The 23136-nt window shown below is 42.7% G+C and overlaps 4 annotated features.

Annotated features, from left to right (window-relative positions):
* Positions 14960 to 15463: an enhancer, noted in NCBI's record as "H3K4me1 hESC enhancer chr13:111502835-111503338 (GRCh37/hg19 assembly coordinates)". NCBI's record gives its function as "activates a minimal SCP1, AML or CMV promoter by ChIP-STARR-seq in primed H9 embryonic stem cells {active_cell/tissue: H9 hESC(primed)}" and the evidence as "EXISTENCE:reporter gene assay evidence [ECO:0000049][PMID:30033119]".
* Positions 15464 to 15965: an enhancer, noted in NCBI's record as "H3K4me1 hESC enhancer chr13:111503339-111503840 (GRCh37/hg19 assembly coordinates)". NCBI's record gives its function as "activates a minimal SCP1, AML or CMV promoter by ChIP-STARR-seq in primed H9 embryonic stem cells {active_cell/tissue: H9 hESC(primed)}" and the evidence as "EXISTENCE:reporter gene assay evidence [ECO:0000049][PMID:30033119]".
* Positions 18104 to 18642: an enhancer, noted in NCBI's record as "H3K4me1 hESC enhancer chr13:111505979-111506517 (GRCh37/hg19 assembly coordinates)". NCBI's record gives its function as "activates a minimal SCP1, AML or CMV promoter by ChIP-STARR-seq in naive H9 embryonic stem cells {active_cell/tissue: H9 hESC(naive)}" and the evidence as "EXISTENCE:reporter gene assay evidence [ECO:0000049][PMID:30033119]".
* Positions 20091 to 20150: a silencer, noted in NCBI's record as "silent region_5519". NCBI's record gives its function as "represses an Ori minimal core promoter by ATAC-STARR-seq in GM12878 lymphoblastoid cells {active_cell/tissue: GM12878}" and the evidence as "EXISTENCE:reporter gene assay evidence [ECO:0000049][PMID:35858748]".

Raw genomic sequence — 23136 nt, forward strand, 5'->3', positions numbered from 1 at the left:
TAGTTTACTATATATCTTCAGTTTGATGGGAAAAAAAAAACTGTAAGCAAACCTTGAAATCTCAGCAGGTTTATGTTTTGCCGTACAGTGTAGTGATTCTGAAACTCTTGGCTATGTTGTAGAATTGAGAAAAATGAGCAACCATATTGATGGTATTAGAAGCCAGCATTCTCAGTGTTGAAGAGAGAGAACTACAGGATGGGAAAAGGCAAGGAAGGATCCATGGGTATCATTAAGAACTTTTGGAATAAGAGTCAGAAGTGGCATTTCCCAATGGAAGGGCCTAGAAACACTGGCAGCCCGGCAATGAGCACATTTTGCATGCAGATCTTGATTTCTAAACACCATTCTATAGTGAAAGGAACTGTGGCATTTTGGAGAAATGGCTGATTCTAGAGAAAAGACGGGCCAAGTACAAGATAAGCCTGGAATGTCTTGGTCTATAAAGTAGGAAATGCTCAAAAAATGAAAGGGATGTGTCAGAATGGCATAGAAGTCAGCTTGGAGACGTTTTCTACTGGCCAAAGCTGGGGCAATTAAGCACATAAAAATGAATGCTAACAGTAATAGAGTATAAACCATTAAACAAAATAAGAATTAATGATCCACCTTAAAAAGAGAGGAAAGAAGGAAGGAAGGGAGGGAGGGAGAGAAGAAGGAAGGTAAAGGAGGAGGGAAAGAGGGAACATTACTTAAAGTAGAATGCCAATTAATAAATTTGGAAGGACTGACGGAGTTAGAAAATCAACATTTTGCAAACACCACGTTAATATTTAACTTGAGCAAGAATCATCAATACATACTAAAACTATTCTGCAAAGAGTAATGAGAAGCAACATATTTACATGGTGTTAACTTAAAATCACACACTTTATAAATTTAGAAAGGAGAGCCGTATTTCTTAAGAAGGGAATTACAACCTGCAAGCAGGAAGTGCAGTCTCAGGCTAAAAGAATGAAAGCAAGCACTTCTAGGGAGGGAGGGGTGGGGTAGGCTGGCCGAGTATACATATTCAACAAGATATAGAGGGGGTTATGAATATTCATGAAGGGGAGTTCTGTGCATGTATGATAAGCAAACATATATGTTCCATGTATGACATGTTCACCTGTATGTCAAAATTTGAGGCAGGGACTTAACGGCACTGAGTGTGCAGCCTCTGTAAACCAGCCAGAACCAGGCCATGGTCAGTGATCTCTGATCAGGAGAAAGTTACTGAAATCAGTCTCTTGTCCGATCAAAGCTGTAGCTATAGCTGGTGGAGTTGGGAGTCAGTCAGTCAGAGTCTGGTGGTGGGTGGGCTGCAGCTGCTTCAGCATTGCTTAACTCAAGGCCAGTGCTTGATTATCTGCTAGAGAAAAAGGAATTAAAAAAAATACCTTGTGGCGAGTAGAACATAGACTTACTCTTTAAGTGTAGGGGTGGGTGACTTAACCTTTGCCAGGCATGGCCTGAGGTCTAGTTTATAATTCGATATCTTATTGTTACAAAGAGTTCATTCAATCAGTTTTACTATCTCTATTTTAACGTTAATGCTGGTCAGTTGTGTCTGAACTGAAAAAAGAAGGGGGTGTAATGAGGCGTCTCCAATCTCCCACCTGATCATGGCTGGGAACTCAGTTTTTGAGGTTTCTCTGGGGTTCCATTGGCCAAAAAGGGGTCCGTTCAGTCAGTTGGGGGGTTTAGGATGTTATTTGTAGTTTACTGAAGGGGGCCTGCCCCTCCACACCTGTGGGTATTTCTCGCAAGGTGGAGACGAGGGACCGAAAAAAGAAATAAGACACAGAGACAAAGTACAGAGGAAGAAAAGTGGGGACTGGCGCTCAGCAAGTGAGGACCTGCACCAGCACTGGTCTCTGAGTTCCTCAGTATTTATTGATCACTATCTCTACTATCTTGATGAGGGGATGTGGCAGGACTGTAGGGTAATGGTGGGGAGAGGGTCAGCAGGACAACATGTGAGCAAAGGAGTCTGTGTCATAAATAAGTTTAAGGAACGGTGCTGTGCCTGGATGTGCACATAGGCCAGATTTATGTTTGACTTTACACAAACATTTCAGTGCAGTAAAGAGCAGTATTGCTGCCAGCATGTCTCACCTCCAGCCACAAGGCAGTTTTCTCCTATCTCAGTAAATAGAATGTATGATCGGGTTTTACACCAAGACATTCCATTCCCAGGGATGAGCAGGAGACAGATGCCTTCCTCTTATCTCAACTGCAAAGAGGCCTTCCTCTTTCACTAATCCTTCTCAGCACAGACCCTTTATGGGTGTCGGGCTGTGGGATGGTAAGATCTTTCCCTTCCCACAAGGCCATATCTCAGGCTGTCTCAGTTGGGGGAAAACTTGGACAATACCCAGGCTTTCTTGGGCACAGGTCCCTGCGACCTTCCACAGTACACTGTGTCCCTGGGTAGTCAAGAAAGGAGAATGGCGATGACTTTTACCAAGCATACTGCCTACAAACACATGTTTACCAAGGCACATCCTGCACAGCCCTAAATCCATTAAACCTGAGTCAATACAGCACCTGTTTCTGCGAGCACAGAGTTGGGGCTAGGGTCACAGATTAACAGCATCTCAAGGCAGAAGAATTTCTCTTAGTACAGATCAAAATGTAGTTTCTTATGCCTTCCTTTTTCTACGTAGACTCAGTAACAGTCTGATCTCTTTTTCTTTCCCCCACAGTTTGCAATAGTTTCAAAGTAACCCCTTCCACAGACACAAATTGTTCATTAGTTATAAATAGAACAACAGTAACTTTACAGTGGAAAAAGCTGGCGGACATCATTTTAGCCACATAATCAAAGTTAACGTCAACAGTAAGGAGAAAATCAACACCACGTGTCTTCTGACAACAACGCGCTGATGGGAGCCCAACATCATTTACACCATAAATCAAATGTTTATCCGTTGGCGATTCCAGCCAAAAATAGATAACCTGATCCAATCATGAGGGAACTTCAGACAAACCCAAACTGAAGGACATTCTACAGAATAACTGGTCTGTACTCATAACAAAGAATCAATGTCATGAGGGACCATGAAAGGCTGAGGATGTCCCACAGGTTGAAAGTGACGAAAACAAACAAAAAACAACCAGCAACCAACTACGATGCACAACCTTGGATTGGAGCCTTCTCAAAATTGCTGAAAATAACAGTGGAACAAGTGGTGAAATTTGAATATGGGCTATATGTTAGGTATTCATTTTATGTCAATGTTAAATTTTCCGACATTGATATTTGTACCAGGAAATGTAAAAGAAGGCCCAAATTTAGCGATAAATTATGCCTGCCACTCACTCTCTCCAATGATTCAGAAGATAGTACGGATGATGAACAGATGACAGAGACATGGTAGGTAGATCAATAGATGGATGGATAGATAGAAAATATGAAATAAGAAACTCCTGGACACGAACCGTACAGACCAAGTTCATCACTCCTGTGAGGGAGAACCTTGAATTCCCATAAGAAAAACTGAATGTGCAGGAAGCGTATCTCATTCAGTTCACAAACCATGATGGGTTCTGTGTTCACCCTGGCTAACTATCTACTTCTACCTCTCCTCTCCTCCTCTCCTCTCCTCTCCTCTCCTCTCCTCTCCTCTCCTCTCCTCTCCTCTCCTCTCCTCTCCTCTCCCCTCCTCTCCCCTCCCCTCTCCCCTCCCCTCTCCCCTCCCCTCCCCTCTCCTCCCCTCCCCTTTCCTCTCTTCCCCTCCCTTCCCCACCCCTCCCCTTTCTTTCCCTCCCCGCCCCTCCCCTTTCCTCCCCTCCCCTCCCCTATCTTGAAATTGGAATTCAGAAGTAAAAAGGTTGCCACAGAAATATATAATAGTAATGTGTTTATTTGAATTAGAAAAACAAGGTTAGAAAAACACCAATTAGTGTCTGGGTTTTGGCATCCTGACTTGACAGTGGGGGCTGGCCTTGCCAATTAGGTCATATGGCAGATATTTTGCATGAACTAAGTGAGTCAAGTCTGAATTCCAAGATTTTGACAAAAATACAATTTAAAGCATGTATAGAATGCATGATAACCAAAAAAAAAATTCATTGGATTATGTAAATATATATATAACTTAAAATTGTGTACAGAGAACTATTTTTCAAAATTATTTCAAAGATAATGAGCAAAATGGCTGGCACACAGGTTGAAGAAGGATAAGGGAATGAATATCATTTCTTCTTTACTTTTTACTTTTGGTATAATTTCAGACTTAGAGAATAATTGCAGCTGTGTATTTCTTCCCCTACTCTTCACCCAGACTCCACCCAAGTTGAGATGGTGCCATATTCTATCTCTTCCACCCTCTCTTTCCAGCACATGATTTTGTCCATCTTCTTGAATATAGTCATCTCAGTGGGTGTGACATTGTCTCTCATGGGGGTTTTGATTTGCACTTCCCTCATGGCTAATGATGTAGCTCATCTTTCTTGTGTTTGCTGACAATTTGTATATAGTGTGTGTACAAACAAAAAATTTGGATTGAAATCCTTTGCCCAATTTTTAATTCTGCTATTTATCATTTTATTGTTGAGTTGTAGGAATTCATTATAAATTCTGCACACTAGACCATTGTCAGACATCTGTTTTTTGAATATTTTCTCCCCTTCTGTGGGTTATGTTTTCACTTTCCTGCCAATATACTTTGAAGCACAAGAATTTTTAATTTTGATGAAGTCCAACATGTCTATTTTTTAGTTGCTGTCGGTTATGAGTGCTTGTGGTGTCACAATGAAGAAACCATTGGCTAACTCAAGATTGCAAAGATTTACACCTATGTCTTTTTTCTAAGAATTTACAGATTAGCCCTTTAATCTATTTTGAGTTAATTTCATGTGGGGTGAGTAGGGGTCATGTTCTTTATTTTGCATATAAATATCCAGTTGTCTCAGCACCATTTGTTGAAAGGACGATTATTTCCTCCATTGAATTATCTTGAAATCCTGGTCAAAAATCAATTCCCCATAAGTGTATTGGTTTATTTCTGGACTCTCCGTCCGTTTCCATTGATCTGTATTTCAATCCCTAGGCCAGCACAACACAGTCTTGGAAAAGGTAGCTTTGTGGTAAATTTTAAAATCAGAAAGTGTGTGTTCAACTGTTCTTCTAGTTCAAATAATTGTGACTATTCTGGGTTCCTTGCATTTCCACATGAATTTTAGGTTCAGCTTATCAATTTCTGCAATAAAAGGCAGTTGGGTTCTGGTAGAGAATGTGCTGCACCTGTAGATTAACTTGGGTGAGATTGCCTGTTCTCAGTACGAAGCTGTCCACTCCGTGTGTTTGGGATGTCCTTCCATTTATATTTAGGCCTTTAATTTCTTTCAATGATGCTTTACAGTTTTCAGTGTAGGAGTCTTGCACCTCTGTGGTTAAATTTATTCCTAAACAATTTATGCTTTTTGATAATATTGTGAATGGAATTGGTTTCTTAATTTCATTTTCTAGTGTATAAAATAAAATTGATTTTTTTCTTGATCTTGTATTCTGCAATCTCTCCAAACTTGTTTATTACTTCTCATAAGATATTTGAAGATTCGTTAGGATTTTTATATACAAAATCTTGTCATCTGCATACAGAGATAGCTTTTCTCTTTCCTTCCAATTTCATCACTGCTTATTTCTTTTTCTTGCCTAATTGCCTTAGCTAGAAACTTCAGCAAATTGCTGATTAGAAGTGGCAAAAGTGAACATCCTTTTCTTGTTCCTGATCTTAGGGGAAAACTTTTCAGTCTTTCACCACTAAGTACAATGTTAGCTGTGGGTTTTGTTTTTTTTTTTTTTGTTTTTTGTTTTTTTTGCTGATCCCTTTCAGGTTGAAGAATTTCCCTTCTGAATCAGTTTTCTAGGGTTGTCATAACAACGTGTCACTAAATGGGTAACTTAAAACAACTGATACTCATTCTCTCATAGTTCTGGAGGCTCGAAGTTCACAATCAAGGTGTCTGCAGGGCCATCTTCCCTCTGCAGCTTCTAGGGGAGGATCCTTCCTGTCTCTTCCAGCTTCTGGTAGCCCCAGGCACCCCTTGGCTTGTGGCAGCATCCCCACAGTCTCTGCCTCTGTCTTCTTGTGACCATCTTCCCTGTGTGTCTCTGTGTTCACATGGCATTCTCCTCTTTTTACAAGGACATCAGTCCTATCGGGCTAGGGGCCCACCCTATACTAGTATGACTCCATCTTAACTAATTATGTCTGCAATGACCCTACTTCAAGTTAGGTCACATTCTGAAGTATTCAGAGTTAGGACTCCAGCATGTCTTTTTGGGAGACACAATTCTACCTATAACACGTCACCCTCTGCCTCCCCCATATTCATCTCTTTCCCACAAGCAAAATACATTCCCCATCTCAACATTGACTAAAGTTTTAACCATTCCCACAGCAACTCTAAGGCCAAAATCTCGTCTAAGCAGCACAACTCAAAGTCTCAAGTCCCATTATCTAAATCACATAATCAGAGACTTGGGGCATGGTTTATCCTGGGGCAAAATTCCTCTCCACCTGTGAATCTGTGAAACCACATAAGCTATCTGCTTCCAAATGACAATAGCATGACTGGCATATGATTCACAGTCCCATTCCAAAAGGGAGAAACTCGAAGGAAAAGAAGGATCATAGGTCCCAAGCAAGTCCAAAATCTAGCAGGAAAATTGTATTTGATTTCAATAATTCTCTGTGGCTCGATGCTCTGTCTGAGCTTTGCAAAGCACCTTTGGACATCTAATTCGTCAGCTTCTCCTCTTACACTTGTTGGTGAGCTTACTGTCTGCCCAGCTGGCTGACAGCTGCAAAGTTAAACAATTATCTCTAATTCTTTCAGCAAACTCTGAAACTGGTCAAATAAAGACCACGCTGCAAGTGAGGACTTCCAGGCAGCCACTCAACAGGTCAGATAATGACAATTTTGTGGAAATGAGGCTTTGGATGAGCACCGATCCCATCCTGTCCCTTTGCTGATGGCCAGGCTGATGGGGGCCTCTGGGTTCCAATGCTGCAGCAGAACTGGGGAGTGGGAGATGGGAACAGGAAATGCTAGAACACACCAAGATCACTGCTCTTCCTGAAACTCAGCAGTTCTTCTTGATACCCCCCTCAATTGCTGCAATCATTTAGTTAACTTCCAGAGTTCTGAAAAAGTTGATTCTAACCATTTTTGCCAGTTATTTATTTTTATGAAAGAGAATTTTCGGATGTTCTTACTCCACCATGTTCGCTGATGTCATCCCTCACCTTTATTCATTTTAAAAGTTATTCATTTTAAAAGTTATTTAAAAGTTATGGTAAAAAATACAAAACATGAAATTTACCATTTGAACTATTTTTCAGTGTAAAGTTCTGTGGCATTAAGGACATTACGTTGTTGTGCAACCTTCACCACCATCCTTCTCCAGAACTGTTTCATCTTCCCCAACTGAAATCTGTCCCCATTAGACTCTCACCCTCAAACTCCTCCCCAGCCGTTGTGACCTATACTACTTTATGTCTCCACATCCCAGTGGTCAGCTCTGGAGATTATCTGAAAGGTGCTGAGAGAGCTAATGTGGACCATATGGGACCCAGAACTTTTCACAAAGGGCCTGTGGGACACAGATGTCCCTGTTGGCTTCTCTTGGATGCACCTTGGTGGACACATCCAACAGGCATGGTAGGGTGGGGTGGGAGCTGGGCCCAGTGTCATGAGCAAGGTGCATGTGGGCCTGCCAGTTCCACTGTCCAGGCTCCACATCAGGGAAGCCGTGAGGGCTCACGGCTTCCTCTACTAGGTGATTAGTAAATATATTTCCCAGACACCGTTTATGCCTTTACTGAAGAAACAGTATCTCTTCCACAAGCAGCATTCCATCCTCTCCTGAGGAAAGAGTGGGCCCCAATGTGTCGCACTGGGCTCTTTGCTGATGTGTCTGGAGACCTGGCCACATCACAGAAGAGTGACATCAGCTTTGTTCTGCTATCACATTTTCATGGATTATAACACATATCCAGTAAAATGCACAAATCACTAGTGTATGGCTTGAAGAATGACTGCAAAGGGAACAAACTTGGAAAACCGTTATCCTGGTCCAGAAATCAACATCAGCCCAGAAGCACTCTGTGCTCTCCCAGCACTAACCAACCTACCTCTCCGAGGGGCGACTGTTATCTCGACTTCTAACACTACAGTTTAGTTTTGCCTGGTGATATGGTTTGGTTGTGTCCCCACCCAAATCTCACCTTGAATTGTAGTTCCCATAATTCCCACATGTTGTGGGAGGGACCCAGTGAGAGGTAATTGAATCATGGGGGCGGTTACCCCCCATGCTGCTGTTCCCATTAGAGTGAGTGAGTTCTTATGAGATCTAACGGTTTTATAAGGGGCTTTTCCCCCTTTTACTTAGCACTTCTCCTTCCTATTGCCATGTGAAGGACGTGTTTGCTTCGCTTTCTACCATGATTGTAAGTTTCCTGAGGCCTCCTCCCCAGCCATGCTGAACTGTGAGTCGATTAAACCTCTTTCCTTTACAAATTGCCCAGCCTCGGGCAGTCCTTTATTGTGGCAGGAGAACAGACTAATACACCTGGTTTTGAACTTTATATGAATAGATTTTTTGTATCTGCCTTTTTTCAGTTAGTATGTCAGTGCAGTTCCCCTATATTCTCGCATGTTGCTATAGCTCATGTGTTTTCATTGCTGTATAGTCTTCCATTGTACCACTATACCACAGTTATTTACTCATTCTATTAGTGATGGAGACTCATATTGTTTTCAGTGTTTCCATATTATGAATAATGCTGCTGTGAACATATAACTCACAAAGAGTTCATATCTAGAATAGCTAAAGAACTCCCGTAAATCAACAAAAACAGGACAGAAAACTCAATAGAAAAGTAGGCATGAGACTTGAGCACTCACTTACCAATAATGACATCCAAATGGCCGATAAATCTGTGAGAAAACAAGCCTTCACTTCAGTAGTAGTCGGGGAAATGAGTAGCCCGAGAGGCATCCTCAAAGCCACCGGAAGGACGGAAATGGAAAAGATGGGCAAGTATGTGGGGTGGAAGGAATTCTCATACCTGCTGATGATACTATGTTGGTCCTTGTCACACTTCATGACATGCATTCTAAGGTTGAACTGGTAGATGCTCTACGACACAGCAATGGCCCTCAGAAGATTATACCTGGTAGACATGTGTGCATATGGCTCCAGGGCATAGAGAAGGTTTCCATCTGCTCTCAGGAGCTGCTCTATTTCCTAGGAGATGGTATTGGTTCTGATTAAATTTTTTATTGAGTTTCCCTTCACAGATAAAGAAGGAACATTGATGGTTTAAGGCAATGCCCCTCAACCCATCACAGATCAACTAAATCAAACCTGTAGGGGTGGAGCCTTTTTTGGTGGAGGGTGGGGGTTGCTGTGATCTTAATGGTCCACCAGGGTTGAGAACCTCTTGTTGCTTGAAGGAACAAATCCAAGGTGACAGAACAAGTGATTTGTATTGAGGGAACTCCAGGAGAAAAAGGAGGTGAGAAGTAAAAATGTAAATATATAGTATAGACTTTTAAGGACATAAGAGGGCTCAGAGAATTTCTAGAATTTAATACACAGATAGAAGAAGTAAACATTAAAATGGCCACTTTCAAAAGCAAATTGAGTGATCTAGAAAATTAAATGGAGGAATCATCTCACAATACAGATAAAAAATATAGGTGAGTGGGAATTATAAGTAAGACTAGAACAAGAGACCTAGTGCCTGAGTAACAGGGATTCTAGAAGGATGGAACAGAACAGATGCAGGAGAGAAAGAGGCATGGAAATGGAGAGAAAAAATCTTCCTGAAACAGAACAAAGGTGAATTTCAGAACAATCTTACTGATTGGTAGGAAGCCCCTAAAAAGTCACTCGTCAAGACACATCCTGATGAATGTTTGAACTCCAGGAGAAAACATCACAGGTTCCCAGATAAATTTACGTTATTCACAGCGGAGCGAGAATCAGGTTGGCACTGACTTTCTTATCTGCAGAAGGCAGTGGATAATACTGACAGATTTTTTAGATGAAAAGCACTGTAATCCTAGAATCAATCCAGTATTATTTATATATGAGAGACAAAGAAAGGCATTTCTGAACACTCAAAGAAATTATTCAATAAAGTACTTCAGGAAAATCAAAGACCGAGGATGATGCAATGTGTAGGAGAGAGTGGGGAATAACAAATCCAGTTAAATATGAGCCTGAACCTAATGGATATTTACTGTGTGATCATGAACTACAACAGAGGTTAACAAAGGATTCCTAAAATAGAAGAATTGTACGATAAGAAAAATAATAAGGAAAGTGAAATTAAAATTCAAAATTATTTCAAACAAACCTGGGAGTTTGGTGCTGAAGGAACGACAAGTCAAAGCTGGCTACGGAGCTTATCTCCAGTGGAAGGCAGGAGGCAGAAGTATTGTTTATTTTGGTGCATTGACATTGAGGTAGAGGTATGATATGACTCTCAGAAAGGTAATCACTCTTGGTCCAGAGACATTATATTAATAAAACATCAACTACCAATATCAAAACCTAAATGAAAATTCTTTTGAATAATTTGATAAATATCAGGAAAGAGAAAAAAAGACTAAAATTGAAGTATATAATGAGTTGGTAACAGTACATCGGAAGTGAGCAAATTCCTTTATAAGAAGACAAAAACTCAGATCATTGAAAGCAAAACACTGAGCTATATTATTTTTATGAGGCAGCCTAAAAATATTATAGAGCTAAAAAGAGGAACATGCACGTGTGAAATAGCAGAACAGCAGGCAAAGTGGAATTTAAGGCCAAAGGGAAAGTTCCCAGGAAGCAGACAGCATCCTCGAATTCGGATGGTCTGAGGAGGGTTTTCAAGGGTGGGGCAGTGTTGAGGCTCCCGCAGGTGACATTCTGTAGTGGCAATTGTGGGACTGTCTTCTGCCAAGGCTTGACAGGGTGGGGAAGGGAGTGGCTACCAGGACCAGAGGGAAGAGTCGGTGGGAAGGACCCTGAAGCTGTTGGGGAAACATTGGCACCAACCTGAGCTGAGCCCTTGGGAAAGGAGCGGCCTCTCTGCAATCTGTGGGCCAAGGCGCAAAGCCCCCCAGGGTGCAGGTCAGCCTATTCAGACAGACAGCAGGGGCAGGGATCCGGAGGGACCAATGTGACATCCACAGGCATCACTAGGGAAGGGATGTTTTGCCAAGTTAAAAAGAATAATCAACTAAAAAGGTAAACCACCAAGAACCTTTATGCACCAAACCACATACACAAGGCAAAAACACCAAAAATGCAAAGAGAACGTGTTAAAATACAATCCCAGTGGGAAGCTTTAATATCCCTCCCTCAGAATTTGACTAATCAGGAAAGAAATGCACAAACACTCAGGGTTTAAATAGGATGGTATGTGTGTGTGTGTGTGTGTGTGTGTGCACATGCACGCATGTGGGGAGGGGTACTTTCTTTTCTTATAATAGACATTTTCCAAAATTTCAAGTTCTTAATATCAAAGACGTTTTTCATAAAAATTAACAGTTCTTCTTAAATTAATATAGAGATATGATGCAGGTTTTTTTTGAGGCAGGGTCTTGCTCTGTTGCCCAGGCTGGAGTGCAGTGGCACAATCACAGCTCACTGCAGCCTTGACCTCCCAGGCTCAAGCCATCCTCCAGCCTCAGCCTCCCAAGTAGCTAGGACTACAGGTACACATCACAATGCCTGGCTACTTTTTTAAAAATCATTTGTAGAGATGGGGATCTCCCTACGTTGGTCTCGAACTCCTGGACTCAAGCGATCCTCCTGCTTCAGCCTCCCAAAGTGCTGGGATCAGTTCTAGTCAGAAGCTCCAAGGAGAGCTTTTGGGTAACATGATCACTCAGTTCCAATGTTCAGCAGGAAAAATAAATGTATAAAATAAATAAATAAGCGTTGTAGACAAAAAAAGAGTAGGAAGCTGGCACAAACATAGTCAAATGCCCAGAGGAACAAAGCAGAACCCAGTGGCCTGCCCAAGCACACACAGAATTCAGTACATGGTTAAAGGCGGTGTTTCAAGAGTGTGAAGAAGTCATTCAATAAATGTTTCTGGGGCAGTGCCTATACATGTAGAAGAAAATAAAAGTGAATGCTTCCTTCATACCACATGCAAAAATAAATTCTAAATGGATAAAGAACTTGATATGGCCAGGTGCTGTGGCTCATGCCTGTAATCCCAGCCTTTTGGGAGGCTGAGGCGGGTGGATCACGAGGTCAGGAGTTCGAGACCAGCCTGGCCAATATGGTGAAACCCCCATCTCTACTAAATACACAAAAATGAGTTGGGTGTGGTGGCGCACGCCTGTAATCCCAGCTACTCAGGAGGCTGAGACGGGAGAATCACTTGAAACCAGAAGGCGGAGGTTGCAGTGAGCCGAGATCATGCCACTGCAATCTAGCTTGGGTGAAAGAGTGAAACTCTGTCTCAAAAAAAAAAAAAAAAAAAAAAACTTGACATAAAACAAAGTCACAAATGAATAAAGAATACGTAGCAGCATATTTTTGAAATTTTGTGGTCAGGAAAGCAATTTTATATAGGAAATTAAATTCAGAAACCATAAAGAAGATGGGGACAGATTTGACTACTTGAAGACAAAAATGTACAGGTTAAGGATACTAGAACAAAGTTAAAAGCAAGGGACAGAAAGATGAGAATACGTGCCACATATAAGCCATGATTGGAGCTGTATCAGTCTACAAAGAACTGCCTGGGACTGGGTGATTTATGAAGCAAAGAGGTTTAATTGACTTACAGTTAAGCATGGCTGAGGAGGCCTCAGGAAACTTGCAATCACGGCAGAAGAGGAAGGGGAGGCAAGGCCCCTTCTTCAGAGGGCGGCAGGAAGGAGAAGTGCGAGCAAAGGGGGAAGACCTCCTTATAAAACCATCAGATCTCGTTAAGAGCTAACTCACTATCACAACAACAGCATGGGGAACCGCCCCCATGATTCAGTCACCTCCACCTGGTCTCTCCCTTGACATGAGGGGATTATGAGGATTACAATTCAAGATGAGATTTGGGTGGGGACACAAAGCCTAACCATATCAGTAGCTTAGGAAAGCAACCAGAGATCAATAAAGACAGTCTGACATAAAGCTAGACAGACCATACAAGCAAGTCACATAAAAATAATTCAGATGGCCAATAAGCATATAAAAATACTGCCAGTGAAGCTTCCCTGTACTGAGGCTGGCTTAAAATTCTGTTCAAGCCCTTGTTTCAGTTCTGTTGAAAACATTTTGCTCCATTAGAAGTATTAAAGTTTAAGACTGATTCTGGAAAGTCTGTATTTGAGGCAGTTACCTGATCTGTTACCTGATCTTTTAATTTTGATCAAGTCTGACAGGTACAAATGACAATTCTTTTTTTTTCTTAATTTGCAAATTTTTATTCATTATGTAGAGTGATCAATCAAGTTGTCTCATTATGTTAAGGGCACTCTCCTGATTTTGGCAGAAACGCATTCTTGTCACATTTCATAAGTTAAGTAAGGTTGAAAAAATGTTTCTATTCTTTAAGCACAGAAATTAAAAGCTGGATGGGGGAGCAGAGCGTGCGACTTACTGTAGGACAGCATGTGTCACATCAGGAAAGCTGCTGGTTGGACATCAATTGCATTTTAATTTCACTTTTAGTGTGTTTCTAATTTCTTTTCCATGAGCTGTCTCTTCCAAGGTTAAATGAGTTGATCCCTTGGCAGTTTCAAAAATAGCCACTAATACTTTAAAAATCACCATTCCAGCCTTAAAAATCCTCACACATTCCATGGGCCAATTTAATTAACATTGGTTTCCAGGATTGAGATCTGAGGCAATTTGAATAAAATGATTAAATTAAGGATGGACCAGATCATGGTGGGCATTTTGGGTAAATCAAAGAAACCGCAGTTTCCCCGAGGCTTTCTGGGCAGCATCCTTGATCATGAAAGTGACACCTCTGCTCATGGTTCTTGTCCTTGACTCTGTCCTCCTGGAACAAAATTACTCTTGGCTCCCATCTGGTCCTGGACTTCCTATGATATACTAATTTTTCTGTCATCTTGTTTCCCCCCATCTCTGCCAGTTTTTAGAGTCTTTTAAAAGAGATTTATTTTATGACTTGGAGATATAGATAGATAGATAGATAGATAGATAGATAGATAGATAGATAGATGACAGGTGAACTTCTGTGTTTGGGGAGGCATGAGGAGCTCTCAGTCTCTTTTTAAGACTTAAAATATTTGCAATATGCACATTACCTGGATCACTTAATTTCCAACAACAAACACCAACCAGGTGCATGGCAGGATATTCATGCCACAGGTCTCTGAGAAAGGAAGAATTTGTTGTCACCTTTTTAGAGAGCCTGTGAGAACAAAAGTAGCCTTAGCTGATCACAGCCTTCTACAATTTCCACCCAGATTGCCTCCCCCACTCCTCTGTTCCCAATCCCTCCTCCTGACACAAACATTTAAAAAAAAATGAGTGTGCCAGAATTTAAATGTCATCTTTCTTCTGGAGATTAAATCCGTTGTGTGTGTCAAAGGGCTTGGAAATATTCCTACGTTATAATGCGATCATTTTACTTCTGGGGTTCTATCTTAAGGAGCTAATACCAAATATGGAAAAAGCCACACGTTCAAAGATATAAATTGTTTCATTGTTCATGCACTAAGATAGGATCATCTGCCCTCCCTTGCCTTTGAGGTAGAACACTTATCCACCCCTCTACAAGGGATCTGGGCCATTCCAAAGAGTATAATACAATGGGATCTTTTGTAAAAGAGAGAAAACAACAGAGACTGTACTAGCAAAACAACACACTGCAGATGACAATAAGATTCACTGCTTTCCTGGCTATCTCATTCCTGTGGGAGTGTGTTCTTCTTCCCCTCCTCTGCCATATACTGGAGAACTTGAAGCCCTCCTTCTTCAAGAAAGAAAACTGTTGGCTGAGAGTCTCTGTCATGAACCAAGTATGAGAAGAGCACAAAAGACCCTGGGACAAGACAAAAAGAAAAGGTTGGGGGGCGGGGAACCACAGGGATTGAAAAGCATGGGAGAAGAGGAAGGTAGACCAGATGCCCCAGTGGGCTGGTGCCTCAAGGGGGAAAGCAGCAAAGGATTTTCTGAGTCCTTTCAACTCTGTACATGCCTATTCGTTCAGTAGAAATATTTTCTTTTGTACTGGACCTCCTTGCTTGGGTTCCCTTGAAAACAGAGACAGAGGCAAGGATGAAAGTGGTTGTGCCTTATTTGGGAGGTGCAGACCTGGGACAGCAAGGGTGAGGGTGCGGGGCTGGAGGCAGGGAGAGGAGGAGACCATGTGGAGTGACGCAGCCCTGCGCACCCTGCAGCTCACACCATGCCTGCATCCACTTGGTGTGAGGGCTGCAAGAAGCCACGCCCCGGAGCACCACAGACCCCGAAAATGGAGGGGGCCAGCTGCTGGCCACCCTCTGATCTCTGTTTCCCATTGCTCAGTGCTTGCCTCTCCTGGCTGCACCACCTGCCTTTCTGTCCCTTGAGACTGCTTGGAACTCAGGTGCGCACTCAGCAGGATGGGAAGAATAAGAAACAGCAACTAGACATTCAGCCATGTGGGGCCGGGAGCAGGACTGGCACCCTGTGCAGTGACCGTGGCTCTGGAGCTGGAGGAGCAGCCGGGAGGCCGGCACTGCAGAGGGAAGCCAAGCAGTGCTGAAGCTGGAGAAGGAAATGAGTACAGTGATAAAAGCAAAAGTGTGAAATTAGCTGTATGTCCAAATGGTAAGCCAACCATCTACCTAGTGGATAAAACATTAATCAGCCATTAACATAATTTAATGAAGATAACACTATAACACAAGAAAATGTTTATAAAATAAATTTTAAAAATTCATCCGTATTCCAGGTTACTGGTATACTGTGATTACAGTTATGTTAAAGCCAAATAAAAGTTGGGAGATTCACTTCTGAAATGACAGATGAGGGTTAACAGATTGTTCCTCCAAAAAGCTACTATAAAATTGGACAAAACTGTGACAAACAACCATTTTAATGCTCTGGAAATCATCAAAAGTCATATAATAAACCTTATAAAAATGAAAATATAGCATATCCAAATTTATGGGACACAGCATGATGAGAGGTAAATTGAAGTCACCAAATGTACACATTAGAAAAGATCTGAAATCATTAATCTAAGCTGCCGCCTCGAGAACCCAGACAAAGAAGAACAAAATAAACTCAAAGCAAAGAGAAAAAAGAAAATATGAAGAAAAGAGAAATCTGAGAAATTGAAAACAGAAGAACAATCAATACAAGCAATGAAAGAAAGAGCTTGTTCTTTGAAAAGATCAATGCAACTGACAAACTTCTAGCAAGACTGACACAGAAAAAGAAGAGAGAAGACACAAATGACCAGGATCAGGAATAAAACAGACATTACCACAGGCCATAAGGACATCAAAGGGACATTAGGGAAGTGTGTGATCAACTCTACATACATAAATGTGACAACTTAGAAGAAATGGGTCAAAAATGTTCCTAAAAAGATGCAAACTGCCAAAACTCACACCATATAAAATGTATGTTTTGAATAGCCCTATAAATATTAAGAAAATTAAATTTTAATTTTATCCCCACACCGTTACAATCAAACTTAAAGAAGTCTCCAGGTCAAGATGGCTTCTCTGGACAATTCTACCAAATATTTAAAGAAAAATCAACACAAATTCTACACAGCATCTTCCAGAAAATAGAAGAGGAGGGAATATGTCCCAATTCATTCTATGAAGCTAGTATTATCCTGATATCAAACCAGACAAAAAATATACAAGAAAAGAAAACTATAGACTACTATCCCTCTTGAACATAGATACAGAAATTCTTAACAAAATGTTAGAAACCAAATCCAGAAAACATAAAAAAGATTAACATGATCTAATGTTATTCATTCCAGGACTACAAGACTGAATTAACATGCAAACTTCAATTCTCCTTGTATACCATATTTACAGAATAAAGGCAAAAAAAAAACGCATTCTATTTACATTCATCTCAATAGGTAGAGAAAGAGCATTTTTGGACAAACTAAAGAACTATTCATGATAAAAGAAAAAAAAAACCTCTCAAAAACTCGGAGTGAAAAAGAACATCCTTAACCAAATAAAAATAAACGGTAAAGGACAACTGTGAAAAGCTTGCAGCTGACTTCATCCTTAATGATTAGAGACTGAGTGTGTGCTCCCTAAGACCAGGAACACGAGTCGGATGTTCTCTCTCGACACTCCTAATTAACACTGTACTGGACGGTCTAGCCGGTGCAATAAGGCTAAATAAAGAAATAAATGTAACCAAATTTCAAAAGAAGAATAAATAAAATGTTCTTTATTTTCCGATGATTTGATCCCATATGTAGAAAACCCTAAGAAATCCACAAAAAGCGCCTAGAATGCGTGAGTGTAGCTGGATTGCAGGATACGAGGTCGGTATACAAAACTCGGTTGTCTTTCCACAAACAGGCAATGAACAATCTGAATATGAAAGTAAGAAAACAGCTCCATTCAAAAAGAATGTCTTACAGTAGAGTGTTCAAACCAGCAACCAGGCCTCATTTAAGGATTGCCATGGTGTACCTCAGAGAAAGGGTCCGTGAGGCCAGATTTGCATGGGGGATGGGAGAAAATGGTTTAAAAAATAGGTCGTATCTGCTGTCCTGTCGCCCACACATAGGGGTGAGACACCAGTGCTGGGGAGGAGTGCTGGGGACTCAGAGGCAATGCAAATACAGTTGACTTCTAGAGACGGCGCTAAGTTCAGCCCAGAAAACCGCGTCCAAACCAGGCTGCATTCCAGTGGGGCTCAGTGCCTGGCAGCTACGGAGCGAAGCCCCAGGGAGGCTCCAGGCTGCGCTGGTTTCCTGGGTCGCTATGACACAGCTGTGCAGGCTTAAAGCAGCACAGATTTATCATCTTACGGCTCTAGGGGTCAGAGGTCAGAGCCGTGTCAGCAGGGCTCCTGGAGAGAATCCTTGTCCCCGCCTCTTGCAGCTTCTAAGCGGGTGCCGCACCCCTGGGACCCGGCCTCAGTCACTCTGACCTCCGACCCTCCCGCCTCCCACCCGTGTGATTCCAGGAAGCCCGCCCCGTCACCCAGGAGAATCTCCCACCCCCAGGTCCCCAGCTCCCCTCAGTCTACCAAGTCCCTGCTGCCAGGCGAGGATTTGGGGATTGGGATGTGGACATGGGTCGGGGGCGTTATTCTGGCTACAGGAGACACTGGGGAGGCTCGGGAAAGGAGCCAGGGGGTAAGGAGGGCGCCTGGGAACTGTGGGTTTTTGTTTTTTGCTTTTGTGAGACAGAGTCTCGCTCTGTCGCCCAGGCTGGAGTGCAGTGGCGCGATCTCGGCTCACTGCACCCTCTGCCTCCCAGATTCAAGCGATTCTCCTGCCTCAGCGTCCGGAGTAGCTGGCGATTACAGGCCCGCGCCACCACACCCGGCTACTTTTTGTATTTTTTAGTAGAGAGGAGGTTCTGCCATGTTGCCCAGGCTGGTCTCAAACTCCTGGCCTCAAGTGACCCGTGTGCCTCGGCCTCCGAAAGTGCTGGGATTACAGGCCTGAGCCACCATGCCCGGCCTTGTTTTATTTGTTTTCATAATTGAAAGCAACCTCAGCTCTTTGTCCAAAGTCAAATGTAGAAAGACACTTAATAAAAATGGAAAGTCCCTCCCCACACACCTGCCCCTCATCAGAGGTAATAATGCAAGTTAAACTGTGTTTTCCACACAATTACAAATAATTTCTATATTTTTGCCACACATTTTTACATGGTTGCTGTTCAAATGAGATGGGAAGGTTTGTAAAATGCCTGCACAATAAATACATTTTTCCATAAAATCCTTTTGTTCAATCGAGTTTTTTAAAGACAGGTTTCCTGAGGCACAATTTGCGTATATTAAAATTCACCCTTTTAATGTGTAGGTCTGAGTTCAGTGTTGACAAACACATAGGGTCATGAAACCACCTTTACACTCAAGATGGAAAAATTCCAGCCCCCCAATTCCCTTGTGCCTCTTGGTAGACGATTCCTCCCTGACCTGGCTAAGCCTGCTCTGTTTATGGGGCCGCCACACTTTGTCTTTTCTGGAATGTCATTAAAGGAAATCATGTCGTGTGTAGCCTTTTGAATTTGGCTTCTTTCACATGGCATGATCTCTGTGTATTTTTAGTATGAATCTCAGTCTATTATCTCCTGGGCGTCAGAAGTATTTTTGGAGATTTTCTGGAAATCCACTTTACTCTGGCTTCGCACATCAGTCTCACCGGGAGGCGGGAAATGCAGCCGCTGCTGTTCTTGAGCCTCCACCCCCTGCTGGGTCTGGGTCTTTCTTGGTTCCACACCAGGTGCTGCTGAGATGCCCACCGTGCACTGGCACTGGGGTCCTTCAGGTCTCCCCTCTGCTTCCAGCCGGGGCCCAGCAACCTTGCGAGAGGCTGGAAACTCCAGTCCAGAATCCCACTCCCTGGGGCACCACTGCCTTGGCGCACAGCCTTACTCCCCGCACTTTCCGCAGGGGCAGGCCCTCCCCACCCTGGTTCCCTCAGTGAGCTTAGACTGCTGAACACCAAAGCTTGGTTGTCTTGCCACAGTGCCTTGGAGGCAGGAAAGCCCTGAGCAGGCCACCTTGAGCAGGGGAAAGAGTACCTGTGATCCCAGCTACTCAGGAGGCTGAAGTGGGAGGATCGCTTGAGCCCAGGGGGTTGAGGCTGCAGTGAGCTGTGACCACGCCACTGCACTCCAGCCTGGGTGACAGAGCGAGACACTGTTTCTGAAAGGAAAAAAAAAAGTTCAACTCACCTTGTCCAAAACTCTGTGTGCCTTGTGGGATTTACCGGTGTTTCATTGGGAGCTCCACGGGGTGAGCAGTGAGGTAAGTTCTACCCAGAAAGTCTGGTTCCTCTGGCCTAAGGACACAGCACCACTGACCAACAACCCAACCACTGGCCTTGCAACTGACAGAGGCTGTCGGCCAGGCAGCTGGAGTCATGACTGCCAGGAACAGAGAGACAGCTGGGGGTTGCACATCCTCCTTGCTGGCTCTGCAGAGAAGGTCCCCCAGGCTCACAGCTGGGCCATTTGAGGCCTCTTGTCACACCTCGCTGTGGGTTCTCTCTCCCGAGGAATGGTGAGCTTCTGAGGAACCACACCCGTCCTGTCTTCCCAGATGTTTCCACCTGGGAATTTCTTTTTCTGTCATTCGCTCTTCTGTCTCTGCATCCCCTCATCTACTGAAAGTCCTACTTACAGGAGATATAAAATTTTTCTTTTCGATTATAGGTCTTCCCTGATAGTAAATAAATTCCCTGCAAGCCCTTCCATTTTACAACTTGCATTCACGTCAACACTTTTCTTTCAGCAGGAACTTCATTTCCTGTTTCCTTTCTCTCCAGTAAATGTGTGTGCCAGGTATTAGGGCCACTGCCTTTTATGCGGAGAGCTCAGGTTTTCGTTTGGTGATCATCACCCACAAATGTTCGGTCTGGTGTGTGTGCCCAGCACGTTGTGGGGAGAGATGGGATGAAAGGCACTGGGCCTCCCTGGCTCTCCCTGCCCTCTTTGTTCCAAGAGTCGTTGCACTTGGCTGTGGAATGGATGGTGAAGTGTGAATTTTGGGAGGCTTCACAGGGAATAGATTGCCCGTTGTGATGAATGCACTTTAGAAATGACAACAAGAATAAAGTTGACTTTGAGCCTACCGATCTCGTGCAGCAGTGCTCAAGGAAAGATGATGGACAGAATGCCTGCACAGCCCGCCTTCTGGAGTAGGACGGTGCCTGTCTACACTCTGCAGCACTACTTCCTGGTGAGGGCTGCCAATAACTAGGTCCTGGTCAGAAGTTGCGCTGACAGAAGAATAATGGACTAAAGTGGACCACACGCAATTTGAAGGGGATGATTTTAAAGTACTGTGGTGGGTCCATCAAGCTCATCTTCATAATACAAGATATGTTTATGTTGACATTGGCTTTTGGGTGACAGGGACCTTGACTGGAGACAAGAGAGGCAGTAAAATAGACTCCAAAACAGCCATTCAACGTTCAGCGTTTAGAGCACCGTACAGTGTGGTGCCATTCTGCCCTCTTGGGTCAGACCAAACCTGCATTAGTCTGCTGGATAACAAATTACCCTAAAACTCAGCAGATGCAAACCACAAGCGCACACTTGCTCTCCTGATTCCTGTGACTTGGGAATTTGGTAGCAGCTTGCCTAAGTTGTTCTGGCTTGGGGGTCTTGTGAGATTGCAGTCAAGATGAGAGCCAGGAGCAGTCATTTGAGGGCTTGATGGGGGCTGGAGGATATTCCATGGCTGATGGGTTGGTATTGGCTTCTGGTGGGAAGCTTCCATTGCTTTCCATGTAGACCTCTCCCAGGGCTGCTTGAGTGCCCTTACAACATGGTGGCTGGGTTCTCCAGAGTATGCAAGGCAAGAAAGAGAGAAAACTAGGTGGAAGCTTTATTTTTTAAAAAAATTTTGAATAACCTAGCCTTCCTAGTGGAAGCCACACAGTTTCTCTTCTGTCACTATCTATTCATTAGACATGAGTCATGAAGTCCAACCACCATCCAAGAGGAGGAGAATTAAACTCCACCTTTTAAAGCCACCATGATATGGTTTGGCTGTGTCCCCACCCAAATCTCATCTTGAATTCCCACATGTTGTGGGAGGGACCTGATGGGAAGTAATTGAATCATGGGGGCAGGTCTTTCCTGTGCTGTTCTCATGATAGTGAATGAGTCTCATGAGATATGATGGCTTTATAAGGCGGAGTTTCCTTGCACAAGTTCTGGCTCTTTGCCTGCTGCCATCCATGTAAGATGTGACTTGCTCCTCCTTGCCTTCCACCGTGATTGTAAGGCTTCCCCAGCCATATGGAACGGTAAGTCCAATTAAAACTCTTCCTTTTGTAAATTGCCCAGTCTTAGGTAGGTTGTTATCAGCAGTGTGAAAACCTGCTTTTTTCTGTCACCACATGCTTTTCTCTGGTCAGACCACACTCAGGAAATGGTGTTTTCTGTGAGGAGGTCAGACACATGGGGTGCTTGTGCAGGGGGAAGAGATCAGATGGTGAAGAAATGGAGCCTGTGAAACCTAAGAAACCATTGAAAAGGCAGATGACATTTAGCCTATGTTGGGGGAACACTACAGCATATCCTAACCTTTCCTGTACTTGTCTTTATGAAAATGGAACTGCATAAATTATTTTGTGTTAAGCTTCTTTTGCTTAACCTTATGCTTATAAGACTATATTTATTACTGGGTATAGTTGGACTTCTTCCATTTTTCTTAAAAGATAACTCCATTATAGTTCCGTATTCCATTGTATGCACATGCTACAATTTCTCTATTCATTTTACTTTTGACGGACATTGGGGCTGTTTCCAGTTTTAGGGTGTTGGGACTAATGGAACTATGAACGTTCTTGGACATGTCTGCTGTTGCAGATCTGCATATTTCTCTGTTAAATAAATGTTTAGGAGGAGAATTGCTAGGTCACAGGGAAGTGTATGTTAAATGTCAGGAAATAATGTTCAACTGTTTCCCAAAATGGCTTTACAATTTACACTCTGACCAAGGGTGTATTAGAGTTCCCATTGCTATATCCTTATCAGCATTTGATAATGTCAGTGTTTTTAATTTTAGCTGCTCTGGTGGGTGTAAAGTGATACCTTGGTGTGGTTTAATCTGCATTTCTCTCACTACTTAATGATGAAATGGATCATCCATCAATATGATTATTGGCCAACTGGATACTTCTATTTATTTGTTCATTTTTTGTGAAGTGCCTGTTCAAGCCTCTTACATATTTTATTATGGATTGTTTGTCTTTTTCTAATTGACATATGAGATTGTAATATAAACTCCTGATGCAATCTTCTTGTCAGTTACATATGTTTCTTCCATTTCCTGGCTTGCCCTTCTATTCTCTTAATATTGCATTTTGATGATCAAAAGCTCTTATTTTTTAAAAATTCAAGTTAAAAAATTTTACAAAAATTTCAAACACCATTTATAAGTATTTCAGTACATATCATGGAAAGATAAGGACTCCTAAAATACAGATCAATATTAAC

Source organism: Homo sapiens, chromosome 13 (genome assembly GCF_000001405.40).
Source record: "Homo sapiens chromosome 13, GRCh38.p14 Primary Assembly".
NCBI classification, from domain to species: Eukaryota; Metazoa; Chordata; class Mammalia; order Primates; family Hominidae; genus Homo; species Homo sapiens.